This window comes from Homo sapiens, chromosome 17 (assembly GCF_000001405.40).
Source record: "Homo sapiens chromosome 17, GRCh38.p14 Primary Assembly".
Classification (NCBI taxonomy): domain Eukaryota; kingdom Metazoa; phylum Chordata; class Mammalia; order Primates; family Hominidae; genus Homo; species Homo sapiens.
The window spans coordinates 80,764,349-80,788,357 of record NC_000017.11 but is presented as its reverse complement, the minus strand read 5'-3'; the positions used below and the strand labels follow the sequence as shown (position 1 = coordinate 80,788,357).

General features: G+C 47.1%; 1 protein-coding gene across 2 annotated transcripts in view, besides 3 other annotated features; it reads right to left on the bottom strand.

Annotated features, from left to right (window-relative positions):
• Positions 1-24,009, bottom strand: part of RPTOR (regulatory associated protein of MTOR complex 1) — a 421,531-nt gene that overhangs the window by 178,011 nt on the left and 219,511 nt on the right. The window lies entirely within an intron of this gene.
• Positions 7,669-7,868: an enhancer, noted in NCBI's record as "active region_12944". NCBI's record gives its function as "activates an Ori minimal core promoter by ATAC-STARR-seq in GM12878 lymphoblastoid cells {active_cell/tissue: GM12878}" and the evidence as "EXISTENCE:reporter gene assay evidence [ECO:0000049][PMID:35858748]".
• Positions 8,385-8,885: an enhancer, noted in NCBI's record as "H3K4me1 hESC enhancer chr17:78753273-78753773 (GRCh37/hg19 assembly coordinates)". NCBI's record gives its function as "activates a minimal SCP1, AML or CMV promoter by ChIP-STARR-seq in naive H9 embryonic stem cells {active_cell/tissue: H9 hESC(naive)}" and the evidence as "EXISTENCE:reporter gene assay evidence [ECO:0000049][PMID:30033119]".
• Positions 13,141-13,210: an enhancer, noted in NCBI's record as "active region_12943". NCBI's record gives its function as "activates an Ori minimal core promoter by ATAC-STARR-seq in GM12878 lymphoblastoid cells {active_cell/tissue: GM12878}" and the evidence as "EXISTENCE:reporter gene assay evidence [ECO:0000049][PMID:35858748]".

Here is a 24,009-nt window from a genome sequence, read left to right as displayed (position 1 = left end):
TCCTGCCTCAGCCTCCCGCCACCATGCCCGGCTAATTTTATATTTTTAGTAAATGTGGGGTTTTGCCATGTTGGTCAGGCTGGTCTCGAACTCCTGAACTCAGGTGATCCACCCACCTCAGCCTCCCAAAGTGCTGGGATTACAGGTGTAAGCCACCACCCCCAGCTGGTGTTTTTAATTTACTGAAGAAAAGGAAGCTAAAACCTAGAATTTTGTATCCAGCCAAACTGTCATTCAAATGTGTGAGCATGACAAAAATACTCTCAGAGGCACATATGGCCTCAGAAGACTTGTCACAAAAAGACTCATGAGGAAGACACTTTCAGATGACAAGCTAAAGTTAGAGGGGAGAAAACTCCAAGAGACGCTGAAGGGGATCTATGAAGTAATGATGACACACAAACTTGTTAACATTTGTAGTCGTCCTAAAATGAAAAGCAAAAAGGTGGGGGCAATATCCATCATAACCAGGATTGAAAACCTAGATATAAATCCACAAGAGCATTAAAAATCCAATAGAAAAATGGATGAACAGACATCTCAAAGATGAGGACATAACTATGGCCACTGAACGTGAGGAAATGTTCAACATCATGCGATATGAGAGAAACGCAAATCCAGGCTACACGAGATATCATTCTAAACCTACTCAGCAAAAATGTACAAGAATGGCAATGCCAAGAACTAGAAAGGATGTGGATCATAGGCTGTCTCCATCACCACTGTAGGAGTGTAAAATGGCACAACCACTGGGAAAGCACCTTACCATGATCCCTTAAAACTGAATGTTCCTATACACTATGATCCGGCAACTCTGCTTTTCAATATATAAGAAATTCTTGCATGTGTTCAAAAGAACACACAGAAAAGAATGTTCAAAGTATCTCTGTTGGTAATAGCAAAAATAAAATACAATACACCAAAGCAAAGCAAAACAAACAAATAAAGGAAGAAGCTGAAAAAGCTCAAGTGTCCATTAAGGAGTAGCAGGTGCACACAGTGTGGCATATTCGCAGAGTTAGACGGGGGTACTCTAGCTAAACACACATCAATATGGAGGAACATGAGCAACACAATGCTAAGTGGGAAATGTCCACATTCCAACCAAAAGTATTTTTTTAAAAGAGTCCTCAAAATCACATTCAGCACTAAAGCCTTTAATAAATTTAAAATCTGAAAGAAAAGTAATGGTCTTAATGAATACACACAGATGCATAGTAGCAATGTAGAAAGGGCATGGAAGGGATGATGAGCCCGGCACTCAGGGCGGTGGTCACAGGGCGGGGGCGGCAGGTGCGTGTGCATCAAGGGCGCCCTGCGTGGTGGGCGCAGGTCATCATCAAGGGCTGGGTTTTGGTTGGGTGGTGGTTTGAGGAAACCCATTATGCTATAAAAATACCTGTTAATTAACTGCTTAAAAGGAGGCCAAATATGGACTAGTGATGAGTGTGGCATGAAGCAAGAATTGTGACGGATCCAGGCTGGGTACGCAAACAAGTGGCTTCAAGATTTTTATGATGTTAAATTAAGTTTCGCCTAAAGGCTGCCTCCGTACATGTTTTATGTTTGGCCTAATGGTTCCATATACATGGTGAACTGTAACCCAACCTGATGTATAAACAGCCTGGTCTTGTGACAGGCAGCTGAGTCTCAGACTACCACAGGCAGCCAACTGTTCGAACTGGGCTCAAGCAAGGCAGACCCCCTGCGGTAGCCAATCCAGCTGCTGCGGCTCTTCCATTCTCCGGAGTCACTTTCGTTTCTGCCCATGAATGGTATCCAGCCACATGGCAGTGCCGGTGTCACTCTGAACCTACTCTGGTTCTGGGGCTGCCTGATTCAAGAATGGTTCTTTGCTCAATTAAACTCTGTTGTATTCAATTTGCCTAGAGTTTTCTTTTAACAATGAAGAACAAATTAATGTTCAGCTCGGTAACCTTGTCAAATATCATACAAATAACTATTGAATGCTGTTTTCATTTTTGAGAATGAAAATTCCTTTGTTTCCTCCTAATTAAAAAAAAACCCACATGTATTTACCATAAAAAAGTGAAAAATTTGTATAAACCCACCATGTTGAGATAGCTTAGCATTTTCATATTTATCTTTTACACAACACTGAATCATGCTGATTTATTTTAGAATAAAAGCAAATGGCGGTCACTATAAAAACCCAAATCATACAGACATGTGTCACGCAAAAGTGCGTCAGTCTAACTTTCACTCTCCCACCCCACTGTGCAGAAGCGGCCTCTGCTATGACCTTCAGGACTTGGTCCGGGCATATACAGTCATCCCTGGGTATCCCTGGGGGACTGGTTCCGGGACACCACCACCCACCCCACCTAGCCACTCCTCTCCCCATGGACAGACGCTCTATGAAAACTCCTGAACAAGGAGAGCTTCCCGGTTAGAAGGTGAACACACGATGTGCTGGAGTGTGGCACCCCCCTGCTCTCGCCAACATGCAGAGTCCCCCCTTCTCTAGTGGTGAAGACATAAGTGGCTTCCCTGGAGGTCTCGCCATCAGCATTCCCTGTGCAGTTCCTCGGCAAAGGAGAGGAAAAGGCCCTCAAAACACATCCCCATCATGACTGTCATTGTCACTGTGAGAGCTGATCATACAAACTGGGTCATTCTTGTCATACCCAACTCAGTCAGAGTCAAGGGGCCGGGGGAAAGCACTCGGGCCACAAAACATTCCTCCAGCAATGTAGTTCTCTGCCAGCCTGGCCGCGGAAACTGCCTGCTGCCACTTGAAACCAGTTTTCACTAATGGCAACCGACACAACCTGCTGTGATTCGAGGACTCATTTCACCCACTCACCAGTCGGGAACCTGCCAGCTCCCCAGAAACCTCACTAGTGCCGAAGAACCTTCTCAAAGAGCAACACGAAACAGTTCTCCTCTTTTTAAAACTGCCAACCTTTTATTTGTTCATCAAGATATACTGAAGACCACCTGGTCTGCCTGTATGCCTTCGACTGTAAATCTTGCTTCCCAAATAAAATGTTTTACATTTAGAGATTCATCACTATATTTTATCTGACTTTGACTCCAGTCCCTAATATCCCTGCTCATTTTTAGCCTTTGGTAGTTGCTTTTCTGTATCCTGACCAGAGCTTTTCTTTGTAATGAGCGGGACAGAGAGGCTGTAGGTGGCTTACTTCACCTTAGCTGGCACGTGAAGTCTCTAGAATTTACACTGATGAAGGTGTCACTGAAGCTTTCACAGACTTGTGCATTTTAACCTAGTCATACAGAGATACAGCAAACTGCTGGAGGTGTCTGGTTTTAAATATTCTTTTTCACAAAAGGAATTTTCAAATATAGCTCAGAGTGGCAATAAATACACAATTAAAATAGCACTTTGGGAGGCCAAGGCGGGTGGATCACCTGAGGTTGGGAGTTCGAGACCAGCCTGACCAACATGGAGAAACTCTGTCTCTACTAAATAAACAAACAAAACAACAACAACAAAAAAAACCAGCATTAGCCAGGCGTGGTGGCGGACACCTGTAATCCCAGCTACTCAGGAGGCTGAGGCAGGAGAATCACTTGAACTCGGGAGGCGGAGGTTGCAGTGAGCCGAGATTGCGCCACTGCACTCCAGCCTTGGCAAAAAGAGCGAAACTCTGTCTCAAAAAAAAAAAAAAAGTAAAATAGGCCGGGCACAGTGGCTCATGCCTGTAATCCCAGCACTTTGGGGGGCTGAGGTGGGCAGATCACCTGAGGTCAGGAGTTCAAGACCAGCCTGGCCAACAAGGTGAAACCCCATTTCTACTAAAAATACAAAAAATTAGCTGGGCATGGTGGTGGGTGCCTATAATCCCAGCTACTCGGGAGGCTGAGGCAGGAGAATTGCTTGAACCCAGAAGGCGGAGGTTGCAGTGAGCTGAGTTCGTGCCATTGCACTCCAGCCTGGGCAACAAGAGTGAAACTCCATCTCAAAAAAAGAAAAGAAAAAGGAAAATAAGCCAATTTCTTCAACTCTCAGCATTTCATTTAATCCAGCAGGTTAAAAAAAACCCAAAGAACTAAACATCCCCACATGAAATTAATGTGCCAAATCATGCGATATTTGTAACTAAATTTAAAAGTATGTGTTTTTTTTTTTGGCTCATGCCTGTAATTCCAGCACTCTGGGAGCCCAAGGCAGGAGGATCACTTGAGGACACGAGTGTGAGGCCAGCGTGGACAGCACAGTTGAGTCCCCATCTCCACAAATAAGTTAGCTGGGCATGGTCAGAGGACTCGGGAGGCTGAGGCAGGAGGATCGTTTGAGCTCAGGAGGTTAAGGCTGCAGTGAGCTATGATCGTGCCACTGCACTCTAGCCTGGGTGACAGTGAGATCCTTTGCCTTAAAAAAAAAGTATGCCTTTTAGTATTATTAGAAGAAAACCAAGTAGAAGCGACTTTCCTAACTTGCAAACGTTAAACAGCTGCACTTTGTAATGTACAGAAAAGTTTACTCTATTTAGGAGCTTCTAGGCCGGTAAGCAGGACAAGATACAAATTAAGTGCAAGAGTTTGCTATTTCATAGTGGCCCTCCGTGCTACAGAAGCAAGCTAGCAAAAAGGAAAAACAATTATTCCATTGGTAAGAGAAATACAGATGAACACCTCATCGGAGCTTTCTGCCAACCCACATAATGAGCCAATCCCATCTGCCTTGTTCTGGGCTACGGCCCCATTGTCAGAGCTGGCTGGATATCGGAGGAGCCCCTTAGGCGCCTGCTGGATGCATGAGCCTGGCCGGCAATGGAATACACCTTCCACGGGAACAAGGCTAATTGCAAGGGCTCTGCCATTTGGGTTCAAAAGACATTAAAAAGTTAAGATAATTTGGTTATAAGAAAAATGTCAGTTTTTTAAAAAAGAAATGATTAAGTATTTGGGTGGTAAAACATCATGTTGTCTGTAATTTAGCAAACATACCCACAAAAACAAAACAACAGAGCAAATAATTGTAAAATGTAGGTGATTTAATATATACAGGGTTCACTTTATCATCCTCTCAACTGTTCCACAGAATGGTTGAAAACTGTCCTATAATAAAAAGTAAAAGGGATGGGGACAGAGACGGAGAGAGAGAGGGGGAAGAGAGTGTCAACACAGGCATTCCTACATTGATGAGTCAAGTCGGGAAATCATTTAAGGAAGCCACCTTCTATTTTCGAAGAATGCCAAGACTGAAAGGGAGGCTCCTTGCCTGTCCCTTCTCCACTGTCCTTGAGATGATCAACAGTTGGTACAAATTTGCAAAAGCAGAAAACCAACTCTTTCCTAAAAAGGTAAACCTCTTCCACGGAGGTAACGCTTATGAGCATCAACCACAGGAAACACACACACAACACACAGCAAGCTTCCACCTCCCCCAGTAGCTCTGGGGTGTGCCTTGCCCTGGAGGAGCCCATTTACAGCCAGCTTGTTTGCGACAACTTCAGATTCTCCGTGCTCCTTGGCCCGATTCAAATATTAATGTGTTTTTACCTAAGAAACTATCAATAACATGGACTGTGTTTATACTACATACCGACAGAGCTAAGATGGGAATAATACTCAGGCTGCCTGAAGGAAGCCAAGCTGTCAGGAAGTGGGACAGCCACAGAGGACTGGAGTTTCTCACGTGAAAATGCCTGCAGAACTCTGGTCCTCTCACCCCGTGACCCCTTGAGAGCCAGGGCTGCTCGGTTCTAATTCAGTACAGGGCTTCCACGACTGCGGTGCTGAGGAACAGCTATGGGGCAACGGCTGGGGCTGAGATCCCCGGAAACCAAGGTGTTCCAGGATCAAGGGAAAACAGTGCCTGATGGCTGCAAGAGGCATTAGTTTCCCGCTAAATACACCGTTTATTTTCACATGCGACTGCTGGGTCCTCACCTATTCTTATTCTTGTCGGGGATGTAGAATGGCTTTGTGGCAAACCCATAAAACTCAGTTCTTTAAAAAAAAATAAAAATAAAAAAATAAATAAATAAAGTGATTCTTTTAAATTACAAAGAACCAATACTTAAATGACCCACCATTATATCTTTCCTGCCATCTGACTTGTTCTTTCTATATAAAGAAGCCATGCCCTTGACCCAGAGCCTTCCCCTACATCCCAGAGTCCACCGTGTCAATTTCCACGTGTGTTCACAGGGTGGAGGAATCACTGGCCAGCCAGAAACCAGCCGCTGCCTCTGCAAACAGGGACAGGAGGGCTCAGCACTTACTACTCAGTGACAACCCCCGAAGAGCTGACCCTATGTGAAACACAGGCCAGCGATACCCTGGGGGAACGGTGCTGCTGTAGGCTCCAGGGCCGCCTCGCGCAGATCATTTAAGAATCAGTCAATCCCCGTGACAGGGACAAAACCGAGGTGGCTCCAGAGCTCTGACATGGCTGCACGCCTGGTGACCCAAAGCCAAGCCCTGACTCTCTTCCAAAGTACAAGTGAGAGAAGAGATCAGCTAGAAGGAGGTCTAAACTGGGCTGGAGACCAAGATAAGCCACGCACAATCATAGCCCCTTCTGCAACCCAAAGACGCAAACAAAAGTCCCTCCAGCGCAGTGCAGGGGCTTTGCTGGAATAACGCAGACATTAATTTCTCTTGCCTTCCCATAGCAATAGGTCTCTCCCTATAAGGAGGTTTCTGAAAGCTAGAGTTGGGATCGAAATTTAGTCAAATGGGCGATCCAAGCCCAGTGTATTTAGATTCTATCTCAGGCGAGGTTTTACTCCAAGTCTTGAAGAAACTGCCAAACGTCTCAGCTGCTGCAGAGGCCCCACGCGAGACAGCGTGGCAAAATGTACTCTTAAAAATATCCACAAGAAGGGGCCCTTTTTGAGTAAGTTCTGTGTATTTTAGACTTGGGAAATTCTTCCTATTAAAAATTTTGGAACCTTTTCCTGAGTTCCTTTTCGGCAGCACCAGGCCTAGCTCGTTGGTACCCTCCGGGAAGAAGGGAACCGCAGGGCGGCCACGGGGAGGAAGTGTTGTCTTGGGGTGGCAGCCACGAGCTGACCCTACGATGAGGGAACCGAAGGCAAAGCTGAAGATTCTATTTGCCAATTTAAAAAATCCCTCTAAGTTATCTTGTCAGTTAAAAAAATTAATTAAAACAAAAAACTGAAATGCACAGTCCTCCATCTGCCTAAGTCCTCACCCTTCCTCCTAGCTCAGGCCACCCGGCAATGTCACCGGAGGATCTGAGAAAGATTTAGACTATGGGCACAATTATCACCCTCCCCGCTTAGATGTGTGTTATTATCCTTCCTGCCCTGGAGGGGAGACAGTTGAGGTTCAGAAGGTTCTGAAACTCACCCCCAGCTACCCTGCTGGCTAAGTGGCTGGGCATAAGAACCCTCCTCTGCACCCAAAGACCACAGTGGGCTGAGGCAACAGGATCCTGGTGCATCTCAGCCACATAAAAAATCACACACAAGTGTGTACCCCTGACAACTGAGAGCGCACGCTCAATGCACTGACTCAAACTCAATTAGGGAAATCAGGAAGAAAAGAGGAAAACAGAGTAAGGTGAAAGCTCATAAAAAGAAAGGGAGCCGGAGGGGCTGTGTGAGTGAGGCCCCCCGGGGGGAGGGTGAGGGGGGAAGGGAGCTGCAGGATCCACCCTGCCACAGGCTAAGAAGGAACTTCCTCTGTGACTCTTACGACTCACCTGACGTGTGTGCAAATTCCTAATATGTAAAATAAAGACAATCTAAAAATAGCATAAACGGCAAAAATGAAAAGTATACGTATCACAGGTCACGGTTCCGCTCTGACTGGACAACATCCGCCTACAGCAGCCCTGCCGAGATGTCCTCCACTAATCCCCTTCTAGCCCGGACCGCCTCTGAGGGTCAGAGGGTGTCAGCAACTGTTTTTCAGGACAGATGAGTTCAGAATCAGGGCTAGAAACAAACCACCGTCTATCCAGTTGTCTTCCTAAGCATTTAAACCGTGGTGGTTTCTGCACCCAATATGTAAAGTTAAACAGACTTCGTGTACATCCCTGTCTCTCGCTGGACCCCTCCCTCCTACCAACTGAACTCTCCCTTTCCGCTCTTCTCCACCGACGGCTCCAGTTGTACTTAGGGAAGCTGACGTGCCCAGAACACCATTCTGGAAGTCATTGCACAACAGCATTTCAGCTTCTTGTGATTGCGACATTTATCAATTAAGTCGTCTGATAAGAACCAGACTTTTGATCCAGCTGCTTTATGGGCCGTGTGTCTGTGCCCATTAACTTAATAGAAGCAGATGGACACGATGAGAACACCGCTGGCTGAAGGCTACTGAGCAGAAATCCAGCCAGAGGCGTGGAAAATGTCCACGAGGAGCGAGTTTCCCACAGCAGATGAGAGCCGCAACAGCATGGAGTCGGGCCAAGGAGTGGAGCCTGGGTACCCCCGACTCCTGCAGAGCCTTAAGCCACCGCAAAAACTGGGGGCTAAGGAAGAGCACCCCGAGAACGGAGCTCACTCCTGGCATTCTGGTGGCAAACAAGTGAACTCACATAGATTTTCCAATGAACTTGGAAATGCACACTGCGTTGTTCAACATGCTTGAAACACAGTTTGTCCACAGACTCCTGAACTAGCTGGGGGGTGGGAAACTATGCCAAGAGCTGGTTCAATCTGTCCCACTTGCTGCTTTTATCTGCTTGTGTTCCTGGTCTATGGTTGCGACGCTAGGTCAGCAGCCTCCAGACATGCGCCACTGAGGGTCTCTCCCAACCGCCCTTAAGAGGCTTCCGCAAGCAGATGAACCCCACTGTGTCGGAGGGGCAGTGCCTGCGGTCACGGAATTGCACATCTCAATGTTCACACAGGAAAACTCCGACCGCGACGGAATCTTATCCCCCACCTGTGACGACGTCAGTGCACGTAGGCACGGCAGAAGCATGAGGAGATCCGCACGCTGCTTGCGCCAAGGAGTTCCTCGCCGACTGCAAGTCTCTCTCTTCGGTTCTCCCAGAAAGCCACGGAGGCGCCACACTTTCACAGGACAAAACAGTTGCCTGTTGACCTGGCCAGAGCCCTCAACAAGACACCAGACAATGGGAGGACAGTGAGAGTGTCCTGGGATGTATTTTCATTTACCTCATGGACAATTTTGGTGTTTCTACAGGCAGAAGTTGAAACCACTGAATGGAAAGCCAGCTTACGGGCGCACACATGAGCTCCAGCCCTCATGCCTAGTCCGGCAGGACCATTCAGCTTGGGGTCTGTGATGAGGCTGAGGACAGCCATGGGCTCAGAAGGTGCATCTCAGCCCACGGCTGTGTTTCTGTATCAATTAACAGCACGGCTTCTCCAGTGACTATGACAGGTACAAACTGTATGTCTTGGTTTTGTGCTAAACCACAAAGATATGGTCCAAACACCTGGCGATGTCCAGTCCATGCCAGCACACAGATGTTTGGTTCCAAGACAACCAAGAGCAAAACCCATTCGCAGGCGCCGCGGCCAGACACCGCACATGAGGTGCCACGACAGTTGTTCCTTCTCTGAGGTCTCGTGATTTTACCGTCCTGATCCTCAGTCAATATTTTATTCTTTTAAGAGACCAGGTCTTGCCCCACTCTGCTGTGTGGGCTGGAGTGCAGTGGCATGATCTCAGCTCACGGTAGTGGTGAACTCCCGGGCTCTAGTCATCCTCCTGCCTCCTTCTCCCGAGAAGCTGGGACCATAGGCGCACCACCATACCAGGCTAATTTTTTGAAGAAAGTTTGGTACAGACTGGGTGTTGCTATGTTGCCCAGGCTGGTCTCAAACTCCTAGTCTCAAGTGATCCTCCCGCCTGGGCCCCTTGAAACGCAGAATGACCATTCTTTAATCGTGTGGGGTGTATGGAAAATGTGATGAAGAAAAACACAAAAGAATTAAAATGGAAGGAAAACTTTAGAAAGACTATTTCTTTGTGATTTTTCTAACTGCTGCTTTCAAATGAGATGGGAAAATGACTGTTCCAAAGGGTGCCAAGCAGATAAACAGCTGATCATTTTCCTTCTTCAGAGCTCCTGGGTTGCATTCGGTTTGCTAAGGAAGAACATAGGATTAGGGGAAGCAGTTTCACATACCCTGAAGGAGGTTAATTTTCTATCTGACATCAATTTTTATCTGTCATTAACATCAGGCTCCTAACAGCGGCTCCCAAGATCAGAGATGTCACTGGCCTAGCACCTTGCGGCACAGAAAGAGTGACTCGGTGTGATTTTAAAGTAATGTTGGTAATTTGATTAATCCATGAAAAACAGTATTTTTCAGAGTTGTTATATGATCAAAGTAAAATGGCAAACTTTTATGGTATGGAGTAGATACAAATGCCCTTAGGTTTTGTCTTTTCCCATTTGATAAACTGCATAATGAAATAACACTTTAACCCCAGCCACGGATGCTCGCTACACAGAAACCTGCTAGGGAAAGAGCTCCTTCCCTCTTCAGCCTCTGGCGTTCACCTTTTCTTTATACAGTTCCAAAGTCACTCCAGCAATACATCTATTTCTGCCATTCCTGCAGAAAACATTCTCAAAGTTAAAAATAGATCCAAAAGTCCAAGCTATGCTTATTTAAGACTTCATCACACCATTTACAAAAATTAACTCAAAACGGACCAAAGGCCTAGACGTAACAGCTAAAGCTATAAAAGTGCTGGAGTCGGCGCAGGCGTCAAACTTCATAACCTTGGATTAAGCAACGGCTTCTTAAACATGACACTAAAAGTACAGGTGACAGCAACAACAAAATAGATAAGATGGACTTTACCAAAATAAAATAAAACTTTCCCACCTCAAAGGACTCCATCTCAAAAAAAAAAACAACAAAGGCCAATAAGCCCATAAAAAGATGCCTGATGTCATTAGTCGTTAGGGAGATGCAAAGCGGAACAGTGAGATACCACTTCACACACAGCAGGACGGCTGGAATGAAGACATACCAGAGACACTTTCTCTAGTCCTGCTTGAATATTCAAGTTTTTAATAGTTTTCAACCACATATCTAAAATTATCCGTAAATTTCGAAATAACATGAAACCAGGTGATCTTTACTATCCAGATGACCTTTCCTGTCTCTTCCTCCCACACTGGCCTCCGCTCCCCCTTCACTTTCTTTTTTCTTTTTTTTTTTTTGAGAGGGTCTTGCTCTGTTGCCAAGACTGGGAGTGCAATGATGCCATCTTGGTTCACTGCAACCTCCGACTCCCTGGTTCAAGCGATTCTCCTGCCTCAGCCTCCCCAGTAGATGGGATTACAGGTGTGCACCACCACGTCCAGCTAATTTTTGTATTTTTAGTAGACAGGGTTTCTCCATGTTGGTCAGGATGGTCTTGAACTCCCGACCTCAGGTAATCTGCCCACCTCGTCCTCCCAAAATGCTGGGATTACAGGCGTGAGCCACCACGCCCGGCCTCCCCCTTCACTTCCTGATCAATAACTCAGCACTTGGGTTCACCAAAAAGATTTGGTCCAGATGTCACACTGTGGGGCCTTCTCTGTCTCCGGCCTTGTAATACTGGTCGGTCCAGATGTCACTGTGGGGCCTTCTCTGTCTCTGGCCTTGTAATACTGGTCCTTTCTTGCAGTCACGTACAGGACCTGCAGAATACAGTCTTTCCCCTGCAATATGCAAAGTAAGGAACATTTTCTCTCTGAAAATAATGTTGTGTTGAAAATGACACTTTCATATATGTGTGATTTGGGGCCGTGTAATTAGAGCAACCTTTTAGTAAAGAAGTTTGGCAGCGCCGGGCACAGTGACTCACACCTGTAATCCCAGCACTTTGGGAGGCCGAGGCGGACGGATCACAAGGTCAGGAGTTCAAGACCAGCCCGGCCAGCATGGTGAAACCCCATCTCTACTAAAAATACAAAAATTAGTATTGGGCATTGTGGTGCACACCTATAGTCCCAGCTACTTGGGAGTCTGAGGCAGGAGAATCGCTTGAATCCAGGAGGCAGAACTTGCAGTGAGCCGAGATCACGCCACTGCACTCCAGCCTGGGAAGACAGAGTGAGACTCCATCTCAAAAAAAAAAAAAAAAAAAGGAAGTTTGGCAAAAGATATCAAGAGCTATATACTTTGACCTACTGATCTTATTCCCAGAAACATATTCTAAGAAATAGTCCAAAATAAGAAAATATTATTATTTTTTTCTTTTAAGAGACAGGATCTTACTCTATGCTATGTTGCCCAGGCTAGAGTACAGTGGCACAATCATAGCTCATCATAACTTTAAACTGTTGGGCTCAAGTGACCCTCCCATCTCAGCTTTCCACGTAGCTGAGACTACAGCTGCATGCTACCATGGACAGCTAAGGAAGGTTCTATGTACCGCAAAGATGAACAGGAAAAAACTCCTTGCAAGCACTATAATTTTATGAGAGGGAAATGATTAAGTAATACTGTCTATAAATGTGATGGAATACTAAATTTGAAAATATCAATAGCAATATAAAATCAGTGATCTTCAAATTAAAAACAATACAAAATATATTTAATTCCAAGTAAGTAAAATTATGTGCATATATGGACAAATGTATGAAGAATATGGAATAGCAAAAACAGTGGATTCTGGGTAATTTTTCTTTCATTTCTTCCTTTTCATTGTTTACTGTTATAATATTATTTGTGCAATAAATTAAAAGATAGCAAAGGCTCCCTCTGGGGTTCTTACAATGATGGCTATTTCTGGGTCATGTGGTTTGACAGCCAAACGTGGGGGCTGTCTGTTTTTCATCCTGTGCCCAACAATGCTGCACCTTTGATGGGTTAGGCATAAGCCAGTATTTCTGAGCTAAAAAGAAATTTGATCATCAGTGGGAAACCAGGGCTGGCTCTGCCTCCTTGCTTCTGCTGCACTTTAGTATTTTCAACATTCTCAGCTACCCCCTGAAGCATCTGAGAAGAAGAAAACAACTCAAGAAGCCTAAACTCAAAGTAAAGAAAAGAGAAGACTGGCTGGGTATGGGGCTGACACCTGCAGTCTCAGTACTTTGGAAAGCTGAGGCGAGAGGATCGCTTGAGGCCAGGAGTTTGAGACTATCCTGGGCAACATAACAAGACCGCTACCTGTTCAAAAGAGAAAGAAAGAAGACTAAGAACAAGTCAAAGGGGAAAGTCTCAGGAAGAAAGGAGAAAAACAGCACAGAGAAAATGGCTGAAAACAAGAAGGAAGTGGGAGTAAAAGCCCTGCAGAAAAGGCTTTCCCATCTTCTCCACTGCAGGAAACAGGTGTTCCACCTTTGGGTTGAAGCAGCGGCTGGAAGCCTGGCCCCGGGCCAGGCTTGTGGGGCGGCTGAGGGGCCAGACTTACACCATGAAGATGCAGACAGCAAGACAGTGGAGGACGGACAGACACAGGCCCAGGAGCCCGAGGGAGGAAGGTGCAGAGACTCTGCCAGAGCACGACTACGCACAGGCGGGGCCCGTGGAGGAAAGCTGCATATAAGCAAGCAGCTTAATTACTTGAAAACCTTCCACGGCAGAGGGGCAGAGAAAGGGAATGATGAATGACTTGAGGACAGACACTGTGTCCGCAGCCTCCTTGATTTCTCTGTGGCATCTTACGGTCCCCTGCACACAGCGAGTCCTCAGGAAACACTGCGGGATGTGGCGCCGCAAATGCTACTTTGCACAGCTTCCCAGGGGCCGCCCCCATTACTGTCCCTGCCGAAAGCTCTGTAAAGTCCCCAACGGGAAGCTGGTTCTCGTGTAAAGTACGGCACGGCATCAAGTAAAGTGATAACATGTAATAACTTCAGCTCACGTTGGTGAAGGCAGGCAGCATGGAATAGTGAAAATAATACGGGATTTGGGATCAGAAGATCCGGGCTCCTGTTTGGCTCTGCCATAAATGAAGCTGTCCACCCCAGACGGCCGCACGCGGAGCATCTGGTACCTCATCAGTAACACAGTGATGTTTTATGCACTACGTCTGCTTTGACAAGTCCTGGGTTATTAGTAAGAGCAAATGTGACACCATAAGGGAGAATACTCTGTGGATTGTGAAATATGATACAATTCATACTCAACAGCTTACATGACATTGCGGCTTCCACTTCCAAAGCACTCTCCCGTGCAGCTCCCGCGCCGTCTGTGTCACACCGGAGCGTGAGCATCATCATCACACGGGCGCTGTCGAGAACCGAGAACTCAAGGCGGGTGGAGACGGGACCAGCTTGACATCCAGACTCCCAGAGTCCCCGCTTTCTCAGGATGTCACAGCGCCCTCGAGTCACACCAACAGGAGAGGAGCCTTTTAAAAACTTGAGGTGTTTCTAGTGAACACAATGATCAGTGCTTCTTTCAACGAAGAAATAGAAAAACAGGGAGTGATGGTTTACATTAAAGCCTGACTCAGCCTCGTCCTTTCTGACAGCCCGAGAAGAGGGCCTTTGTCAGGATTCAGCACCATAGCCCCCAGGGCAGGCCGCATAGCCCTGCGTGTCCACCGGGAGCTGTCTGGAGGGAATCAGAAGCGGTCGACGTCTGAGGGAGCTCTGATGCACAACAGAACACACTGAACACACCCAGGCACCAAGCGTTCCTCTTCCAGAAAGAACAGTTTGCTGGCAGCGCCACAGTGACTACACGTCCCCAGCAAGGCTACCCATCAGTCCCACCAGCCTGCCCAAGCGCCTGCCTGGAGGAGGGCCTGGTGCCAGAGGAAGCAAATCCAAATAACATCTAGGAGCCAGCCAGCTCAGAACAAGGCTGCGGGGCTGCCTTGTAAACAAACAGACCAGCCAGCCACTGGTTAACGGTTCCAACCAAGTCCTCGGTGTAAAAAATGCCCCCAGTGGCCTGCCTTGGAGCAAAGCACAGGCACAAATCAAAATAAAGGAAGGGCCTTTCCAACAAACTTTAAGTCCAACAATTGGCAAGGGAGTGAGAAAGAAGAAGAAAAACTGACCTATAAAAAGCAGAGACATTTTAAACGACTGTCTTCCCAGGCACCCCTAGAATATACTGCTTCAACAACCAACGTGGATATTAAAACCCACTGCCAGAGGCGCTATTTACCAGAGTGTGATGTAGCTGCAACTGCAGAGTCTCTGTGCGAACAGAGAAGTCCCCACTAGCTGTGTCTCTACCACAGTCCCTCGGGGCTTTGGTGACAAACTGCAGGTGAAGGGACAACATCCAGGGACATCAACAGCGCCTGCCCACCTGTCCCAAGAGTGGTGGTGCCGCTCCCGGGCAGCCCTGTGTCACTGGCTCAGCCAAACACACTGCTTTCTCCAGTGGGAGAGACCCAGGAACAACTCTGTGCCTCCCAATAGCCCAGTGCCAGCGCATGCCACCTGCAGACACACGGCTCTTTGAGAAAATCTCATTTTAAAAGCCCTGCATGCATGAAGCCACTTAAGTGGTGAGAAGGAGGAGGCAGAAGGTAATGAAGAGAAGAGCGCTCAGGTCAGAAAACCCCGGTTCAAATCGTAGCCCTGGCTCTGCCCCTGTACAGCCCCAGGCGAGTTCACACCTTGATGTCCGGCTGCCACCACTTACCTTTCACTTACACGATGAGGATAATGGAACTATAAAACAGGAATTACTGAGATTAAAAGAAACAAAAAGTCTTAATATGTACCTGGTACATAATGAAAATTAAATACACATTAGTCTGTTCCTTAAGAAGATTTTTGCTTACAAACTCAATAATGACCTCACAGTGCTAGAGCTGGTGCTTTAGTGAATGAAACAAGGTCCAAGCCATTGGATGAGCCGTGTGGCTGGTGAAGCTGCCGCAGGAGAATGGGGGCAGCTGCCCCTCATCAGGGAGGCACTGAAGACCAGACAAGGGCGGGGAGGGTAGGGGTGGGGGACCAGGCATGTGGGGGGGAGGGGAAGGGGAACAGGGCATGTGGAGGGAGAGGAAGGGGGTCCAGGCATGTGGAGGGAGAGGAAGGGGGTCCAGGCATGTGGGGGGAGAGACAGGGGGAACCAGTCATGTTGGGGACAGCACTGGTGGTCCCTGCTGGACTGGGGTCAACCCAGCACCATTTGGGTCAAGTGACAGGGAGGTCTAAGGGCTGCCCAAAACATCGAGGTCTTCTGAAAAATTGCTAGTATTGAGTTTTTGGATGTGATATTAAGGAAGACAATCCAAGACAAAGATGTACATTTATTTTTTAAAAGCAGCCAAACAGTGGCAGATTAAGGCAGGTGAACAGATTTCGACTCTGGCCTGTGTGGTCCAGGCACTCATTCACTACCCTGATACCCGAGGTGCCTCCTCACCTCTATGTGCAGAAATTAGTGTCAGGCCTGTAATCCCAGCACTTTGGGAGGCTGCAGTTGGAGGACTGCTTGAGGCCAGAAGTTAAAGACCAGCCTGGCCAATATAACAAGACCCCATTTCTACAAAAAATGTGAAAAATTAGCCAGGCATGGTGGTGTGCACCTATAGACCCAGTTACCAGGGAGGCTGAGGTGGGAGGATCACTTGAGCCTAGGAGGTCGAGGCTGCAGTGAGCTGTGACTGCCTCGCTACGCACCAGCTGGGGTGCCCGAGCGAGAAGACGGGCACGTCAGATCCAGCAGCAACAGCTTCCCCCATATCGGGGGCGAGGCCTGGAGCTGGGCATGGCGGTGGCTGGCTGAGGGACACGAGGGTTCAGAAATCCTGGGAGATGCCAGCTGGCCTCCACCCACCCCCACCCCACCCAAGTCTGAATGGAGGCAGCAGGGTTTCCTGTGTCATTCCTAAGGCCTCTCAGGTGATACCTTCCTTCCATTACACAGAAAAACAAGAAACACAAACAACCAGGGTAAACACCTGGGGCTGGGAAGGAGAGGGGGCGTTCTAGGTTGAGGAGACCTGATTACAATATTGAGGGCTGGACAGGAAGGGCAGAAAGGCTTGGGAGGTACCCCCTTCCGTCCTGAAGCTTAACTGCACCTGGAGAGAAAGAACTAGGCAATGAGGCCCAGGAGGGCCAGCGGGCGGCGGGAGTGCCCTCTTGCTGGGGTGGACCTTTTGTTTCAGGCATGAGAGGTTTATGCAGGTGTATATGACGAGGAAAGCGCTGGCAGAGGGAGAGCGTGAGGAAGGAGGGATTATCTCAGAGGGGTCAGGATAGTGATCGCTGGATGAGCTGCAGTTTCTCACAGGCAGAAGTACGTCAAGAGGAGGGCCAAGAACACAGCCGTGGGAGAACATACGTCCAAGTGCAGGAAGAGAGGCTGGCCAGAGAGTGGGAGCTTCAGAGAGGCAGCCGCAGACCCCAGGGCAGGGAAGGAGGTGCTGAAGGGGGTGTCCCTTGCTTCAGCTCTGCAGCGGACTCTTCAGGGGCAAGGATTAGGGACAGGCCAGTGAGGCTGACGGCTCAGAAGGCAGCGATCACCTCGATGGTTCCGGGAGAGCTGCTGGAATGGCAGGAAGGCAGGGGACTGCCCCGGGCCAGGAGAGGCAGCACACGCTGTATGCTGGGAGAAGCTGAGTGGTGACAGCAGCGCAAACCAGACACTCTGTCTAAGGGGAAGATGCCCGATTTAAGGAAAGAGGTGGGTGGGCTTAGGTCAGCTGCTTTCTGTGCTTTATTGCTGGTTCTGCTGGGGAAATTTGAGTACAAACATTTGTGGATTGGAAGGTGGGGATCTTGCGGACAGCAAAAGTGAAGACAGGAAGCGTTTGAGGCGGGTAAGTAGGAATTGCAGGTTGAAGGTGCTACCAGCAGTGCGATTTTCCTCTTAGAGAATGCAAACAGCATGGCTTCTTGAACAGTAACAGAGAAGATGTGTTCACAACTGATGATATCGTTGTCCTCCATTAGAAATGGTAGGTGACAGACATACCTGGATCCTGAACCTGCATGTCCATCCGACAGCCACCGCCATGCCCAGTTCTAAGCCTCACCCACACAGTGAGCTGCCCCTGCTGGATGAAATTTGCTCCTCTGTGTCCCCAAATGCCCTGGGCACCTTCCTCAGGAGAGCCCGGACCACGCTGCTGCTGAGATACGAACATGTCTTCTCAAACAGGCTTTCATTTCCCAGAGGGCTGCTACGCTGAGAAGGCACGTCCCTCCTAAAATTCCTGTTGGATCTGAGGACCCGAAGTGACAGTGCTAAGAGGTGGGCTTTAGATGACGGTTACATCCCAAGGCTCCGCCATCCTGAGTGGGATTTTAGCAACCTTATTTAAGGCGGGGGTGCTGGAGGAACATAGCCTCTGCTGCCTTCTGCCTTCTGCTATGTGAGGATGCAGCAGTCCTCCCAGGAGGACACGGGAAAAGACGCCACCTCGAATGCAGAGAACAGCCCTCACCAGACGCCAAACCCACCGATGCCTTGACCTGGGACTTCCAGCCTCCAGAACCGGGAGAAATAACTCTGTTCTTTATAAATTACCCTGTTTCAGGGGCCTGTGCAGCAGCACTAGTGGGCTGAGACAAGGGTGGAGACCCCCGTGTGACTGGCTCTGCAGGCCAGGCCAGCCCTGCAGCTGCACAGCACCTACCACAAAGAAGGCACTGCCAACAGAAGAAATTCCAGCTCGAGCTTCATGGTCACGGACCCCGCCCTCCCTCTCGTGTCCTGGCCACCATCCTTCACTCAGATGCCACACTGGGCTGCTGGTCGAGATGCGTTCAGGCCTCTGAGCAGGTCAGGGTGAGTGCCTCACAATGCCTTTCTCCACCTCCTCTTGCTGGTGAAATTTCACTCATCATAGCGGGTGATACGAGGACACCCCAACAGCAGTGATGCCGCCTCTGCCTCCAAGGCAAGCAGAAGGAGTATCCCTACTCCCTCCTCTGTCTCCAAGAAGAGCACTGATGAGAGGGAGCACCTCTCCCTGGAGACCCTCTTTTCCGGGCACACAGGGACTGTGTCTCATAACCTTCATGACTTAGGTGTTTACTGGCTACCTGGGACAGGATGGGAACTCAGAAGTTCTCATTGCACAGAGTCCTTTCAACCTGCAAGTAAGCAGCACTCGGGCTGTTCTCAGTGACTGTGGTGACAGTACTTAAAGCAAGGTTTAATGCCCAGTCTCAGAGTGCACTGAAATGGCTTCTGAATCCAGTTTAAATTGTTCTATGTACTGAACATACATATACAACATTTACTTAGCAGTACAAATAACGAGAAACCAAAGAAGAGGCTAACGTCTCCTGGATTAATTCACACCATTTTACAACAAGGCTGGCAACACCATGCCACCATCCTTATGGGTCTACTTGCCAGCTTGGTTCTGGCGTGGGACACCATGCCACCCTCCACACAGGCCTACATGATGGCATGGCTCTGGCGTGGGACACATGCCACCCTCCATACAGGTCTATGTGACAGCACGGTTCTGGCGTTCCAACAATGATGCCATCAAGAGGCATTATCGATTCGATCTCAGCACAAGTAAAATGAGGATGAAAATGGCTTCCGCAATATACTGTCCAGTTTAGCACAAATCAAATGATCGCTTTTTTATTTAAAAAAGGGTCATGAATGCCTGCTATTAAATACGGAGCTGAATGCACTGACAGTTTTTGCATGCAATGTGACCTAACGTCACTGATTAAATATGGAGGCATGAGCACGCTTAGGCACATAAATCAAACAAGAAGCCAAACTGCCACTAAAATGCCCAGAAGTTTAAGAAGAAGATACAAAGAGGCAAATAAGCAGTTAATATGTCACCGTGTGATGGGGATATAAGTCAGTCGATTAGTAGGTATGATTTCAAACAAGTCCTGAAGCTAATCTGGAACATAGTGATGATGACATCAAGCAGGAGACAACAAATGACTTTCTTCCCATGAGACACGGACAGTGAGGAGGCCTGGGACAGGCAGGAGTGAGGCCGGGGCTGAGCACTCTTTCCCGTGCAGTATTTCACCCAAGCTGATTTCCGAGGATTACATGAATAACTCAGTAGCTATGAGAGCCCAACTGTGGGCTGAACTGCACAGTCTTAATTCTTTTCTGAATGCTCCTTTTATGTTAAAAGGATACTCTGTGTATACTTGCTACCCTTGAGTCCTCCAGATACATTACACACGGATGCATTCAAACTCTCACAAAAGTCTTTGGGACTCACTAAGCGGCCTACTGAGACCCCAAGTGAGATCACGCACTCCATGGTTCTCCCGTTAGACAGACATGGGAGAAGAGGAAATGTGAGCCAACAGTAAATGACTAGAAGGTAAGTCCCAACGTGAACCAAAAATATAAAGGCAAGCTGCTCTTAAAAAAAAATTCACGTGGTCAGGCGCGGTGGCTCACGCCTGTAATCCCAGCACTTTGGGAGGCCGAGGCGGGCGGATCACGAGGTCTGGAAATCGAGACCATCCTGGCTAACATGGTGAAACCCCATCTCTACTAAAAATACAAAAATTAGCCAGGCATGGTGTTACGTGCCTGTAATCCCAGCTACTCAGAAGGCTGAGGCAGGAGAATCACTTGAAACAGGGAGTCAGAGGTTGCAGTGAGCTGAGATTGCACCACTGCACTCCAGCCTGGCGACACAGCAAGACTCTGTCTCAAAAATAATAAAATAAAATAAAATCATAAAAAAAAAATTCAAGTAACACTTTTTCTTAGGGAAGTAAGCTGATTTGTAAAAGGCCCCAGGTGCATAAAATTTGGTCAAATTAGTCAACAGTTAGGCAGTAACCTTGTAAAGATTTTCTTAGCTTTTACCATTACTAATTACACCGAGCCTTGGGACAGCAACTTAATATGGTCAGCAGATATTTAAACATTTCACAAAGGTTGTCTGTCTATTCTGTTCATCTTAAAGGTTTGGTAAAATTCACTAGTAAAGATATCTGGGTGCGGGGTTGTCTTTGAATGGTTGTTAACCAGAAATTTAATTTACTTAACAGATATATCCTATCCAAATTTTCTTTTTATTCTTCTGTCAGATTTGATAACTTGTGTCTTTCACAGAATTTATCCATTGCATCTAAGATGAAGAATTTACTGGCATATGGTCCTTCATGATTAAAATGATTCCCTTATTCTCCTTTTATTTACTTATAATTTTCATTTTTGGAGACAGGGTCTCACTCTGTGGTCTATGCTGGACCACAGTGACGTGATCACTGCACTGCTCACTACAGCCTCAATGCCTCCCAGTGATCCTCCCACCTCAGCCTCCCAAGTAGCTGGGACTACAAGCGTATGCCACCACGCACGAGTAATTTTTATATTTTGTAGAGATGGGGTTTTGCTATGTTGCCCAGGCTGGTCTTGAACTCCTGGGCTCAAGCGATCCACCTGCCTCGGCCTCCCAAAGTGCTGGGATTATAGGCATGAGCCCCCGCACCTGGCCCCTTATTCTTTTAACATCTGTAGGATCAGTAAGGATGTGCCCTCTTTCATTTCTGATGAAAGTCATTTGTATCTTCCTTCTATTTTTCTTGAGCACTCTAGAAAAAGTTTTGACAATTTTAATGAACCTTTCAAAAACTATCAACTAGTTTCATGAATTTTTACAAATTTTGGGGTCAACTTCTGTTTATTTTTGCTCTTCTCTTTATTATTTCTTTTCTTCTACTTACTTAGGGTTTAATGTATTCTTTTTTTTCTGGACTTAAAGAAAAACTTAGACCATACATTTGAGAGTTTTTTAATTAAAAACTACAAATAGCATTAAATTTTGAGATCAATTATTGCCGGTACATGAACACCTAGTTAAGTAATGGTGCCTGTTTCTTTCCCTAGTGACAAACAGTGAGCTTACAAACAGCAGTAAGAAAGGGTACAGTGCACACCTCTAGGTGGACCTTTGCAAGCATTTCTATACACTATTAACAAAGGAAAAGAACTGCCAACTAAACAGGTATGTTACTTATTGTAAGATGCTTCTGGACCCCAGATATGTTAAGTGTGAAAACGCACATGCTGGGATCAGGCGTGGTGGCTCATGCCTGGAATTCCAGCACTTTGGGAGGCTAAAGCAGGAGGATCACTTGAGCCCAGGAGTTCAAGGATGCAGTGAGCTATGACTGTGTCACTGCACTCCCATCTAAGTAAAAGGGAGAGACCCTGTCTCTATTTTTTAAAAAAGGACCAGACATGGTGCCTCATGCTTGTAATTCCAGCACTTTGTAAGGCTGAGGTGGGAGGATCTCTTGAGCTTAGGAGTTCGAGACCAGCCTGGGCAACATGGTGACACAGTCTCTACAAAAGATACAAAAATTAGTCAGAATGGTGGCATACACCTGTAGTCCCAGTTACCTGGGGGGCTGAGGTGGGGGGATTGCTTGAGCCCGAGAAGTTGAGACTACGGTGGGCCGTGTTCACACCACTGCACTCCAGCCTGGGTGACAAAGCAAGATCACGTCTTAAAAAAAATTTAAAAAGTACATGCTAGAATCAGTGAACTATGTTAGATGGCCCTTACTGTAAACAGATAATTACAAATGTTCACATTCCTTCTGCTGGTTATGGAGTTATCTTACTGGGGGTCAGGAATTCTAATACTGTTTTAGTGCGAGAGAGAATCTTTGCCTTGTTCCCAGCTTCGAAGGGAAGACGTCTCCAGTCTCCCCACTAGGCTGGTTTGCTGAAGAGCTCTGATGTAGCCTTTACCACGTTAAGTAAGTCGTGGTAACCTCTATTTAGACGTGACAGACTATAGATGATAGTGATCTCAACTTCCTCCATAACGAGAGAAAAAGAACAGGACAAGGACGGAGAGCCCCAGGAAGGAAATCATGGCAAATGAGAGACGCTGGGCAGGAGAGAGAGAGGCGGAACAACAGAGTTGAGGCTGTCAGTTCGGGAGCCTGGGCACCCAGCTTTGAATCCTGACTCCACCAGCTACTCTCCAAGCAACCTGAACTTCCTCATCCTGAAAGCAGCACTAACGCCAGTCCAAACCTTACAGGCGTGTGGTGTTAGATGAGTGCATTAGTGGAATGGCTCCAGTGACGCTCGACAAATGCTAGCTACTGTTATCCCTGTAACTGTAAAATGTCAACCAAACGTTAAGAAACAGTTGGACAAGCGTAAGTGGCTCAGCAGAGGTGAGAGAAGTGAAGCCTTTGACCTGGACGGTGCAAAGTCAAAATGAAGCACTCACCTCCCAAAGCCTGCTGTCAGCAAGTATCAAGAACTGAGACAACTGGCTCTCTGAAAAGAAGAACTGAGAGCAAGTGCCCAGATGAAAATCTGTGAGAAGAGTGTTCAGAGGCCCTGGACGCCCCCTCCCACACTGGCAGGACTCCCAGGAAATGAAGCAGAGACCCTATGGATGCAGAGATGCGACGGACAGCGTAGGGCTGCCTGTATCTTTCAGATTCGCTCTCTTCATTTTGTTTTTCATCTGTTTATTGCATTTTTCCCCTGGCTCTTTAAGGCAAACATTTAATTTTTCTTGTTTTTTTAATCTTTGTTTTCTGACTAAATGTATTAAATCCTCGCCTGCTTTGGCTACATACACCCCACAAACAGCAAATGTGCTATTACTAACATTTGGCTGTGAGTATTTTATCAGTTTTAAAGTATTTCCTCTTTAGAAATGCAAATCAAAACCACAATGAGATACCATCTCACACCAGTTAGAATGGCAATCGTTAAAAAGTCAGGAAACAACAGGTGCTGGAGAGGATGTGGAGAAACAGGAACACTTTTACACTGTTGGTGGGACTGTAAACTAGTTCAACCATTGTGGAAGTCAGTGTGGCGATTCCTCAGGGATCTAGAACTAGAAATACCATTTGACCCAGCCATCCCATTACTGGGTATATACTCAAAGGACTATAAATCATGCTGCTATAAAGACACATGCACACGTATGTTTACTGTGGCACTATTCACAATAGCAAAGACTTGGAACCAACCCAAATGTCCAACAATGATAGACTGGATTAAGAAAATGTGGCACATATACACCATGGAATACTATGCGGCCATAAAAAATGATGAGTTCATGTCCTTTGTAGGGACATGGATGAAATTGGAAATCATCATTCTCAGTAAACTATTGCAAGGACAAAAAACCAAACACTGCATGTTCTCACTCATAGGTGGGAACTGAACAATGAGAACACATGGACACAGGAAGGGG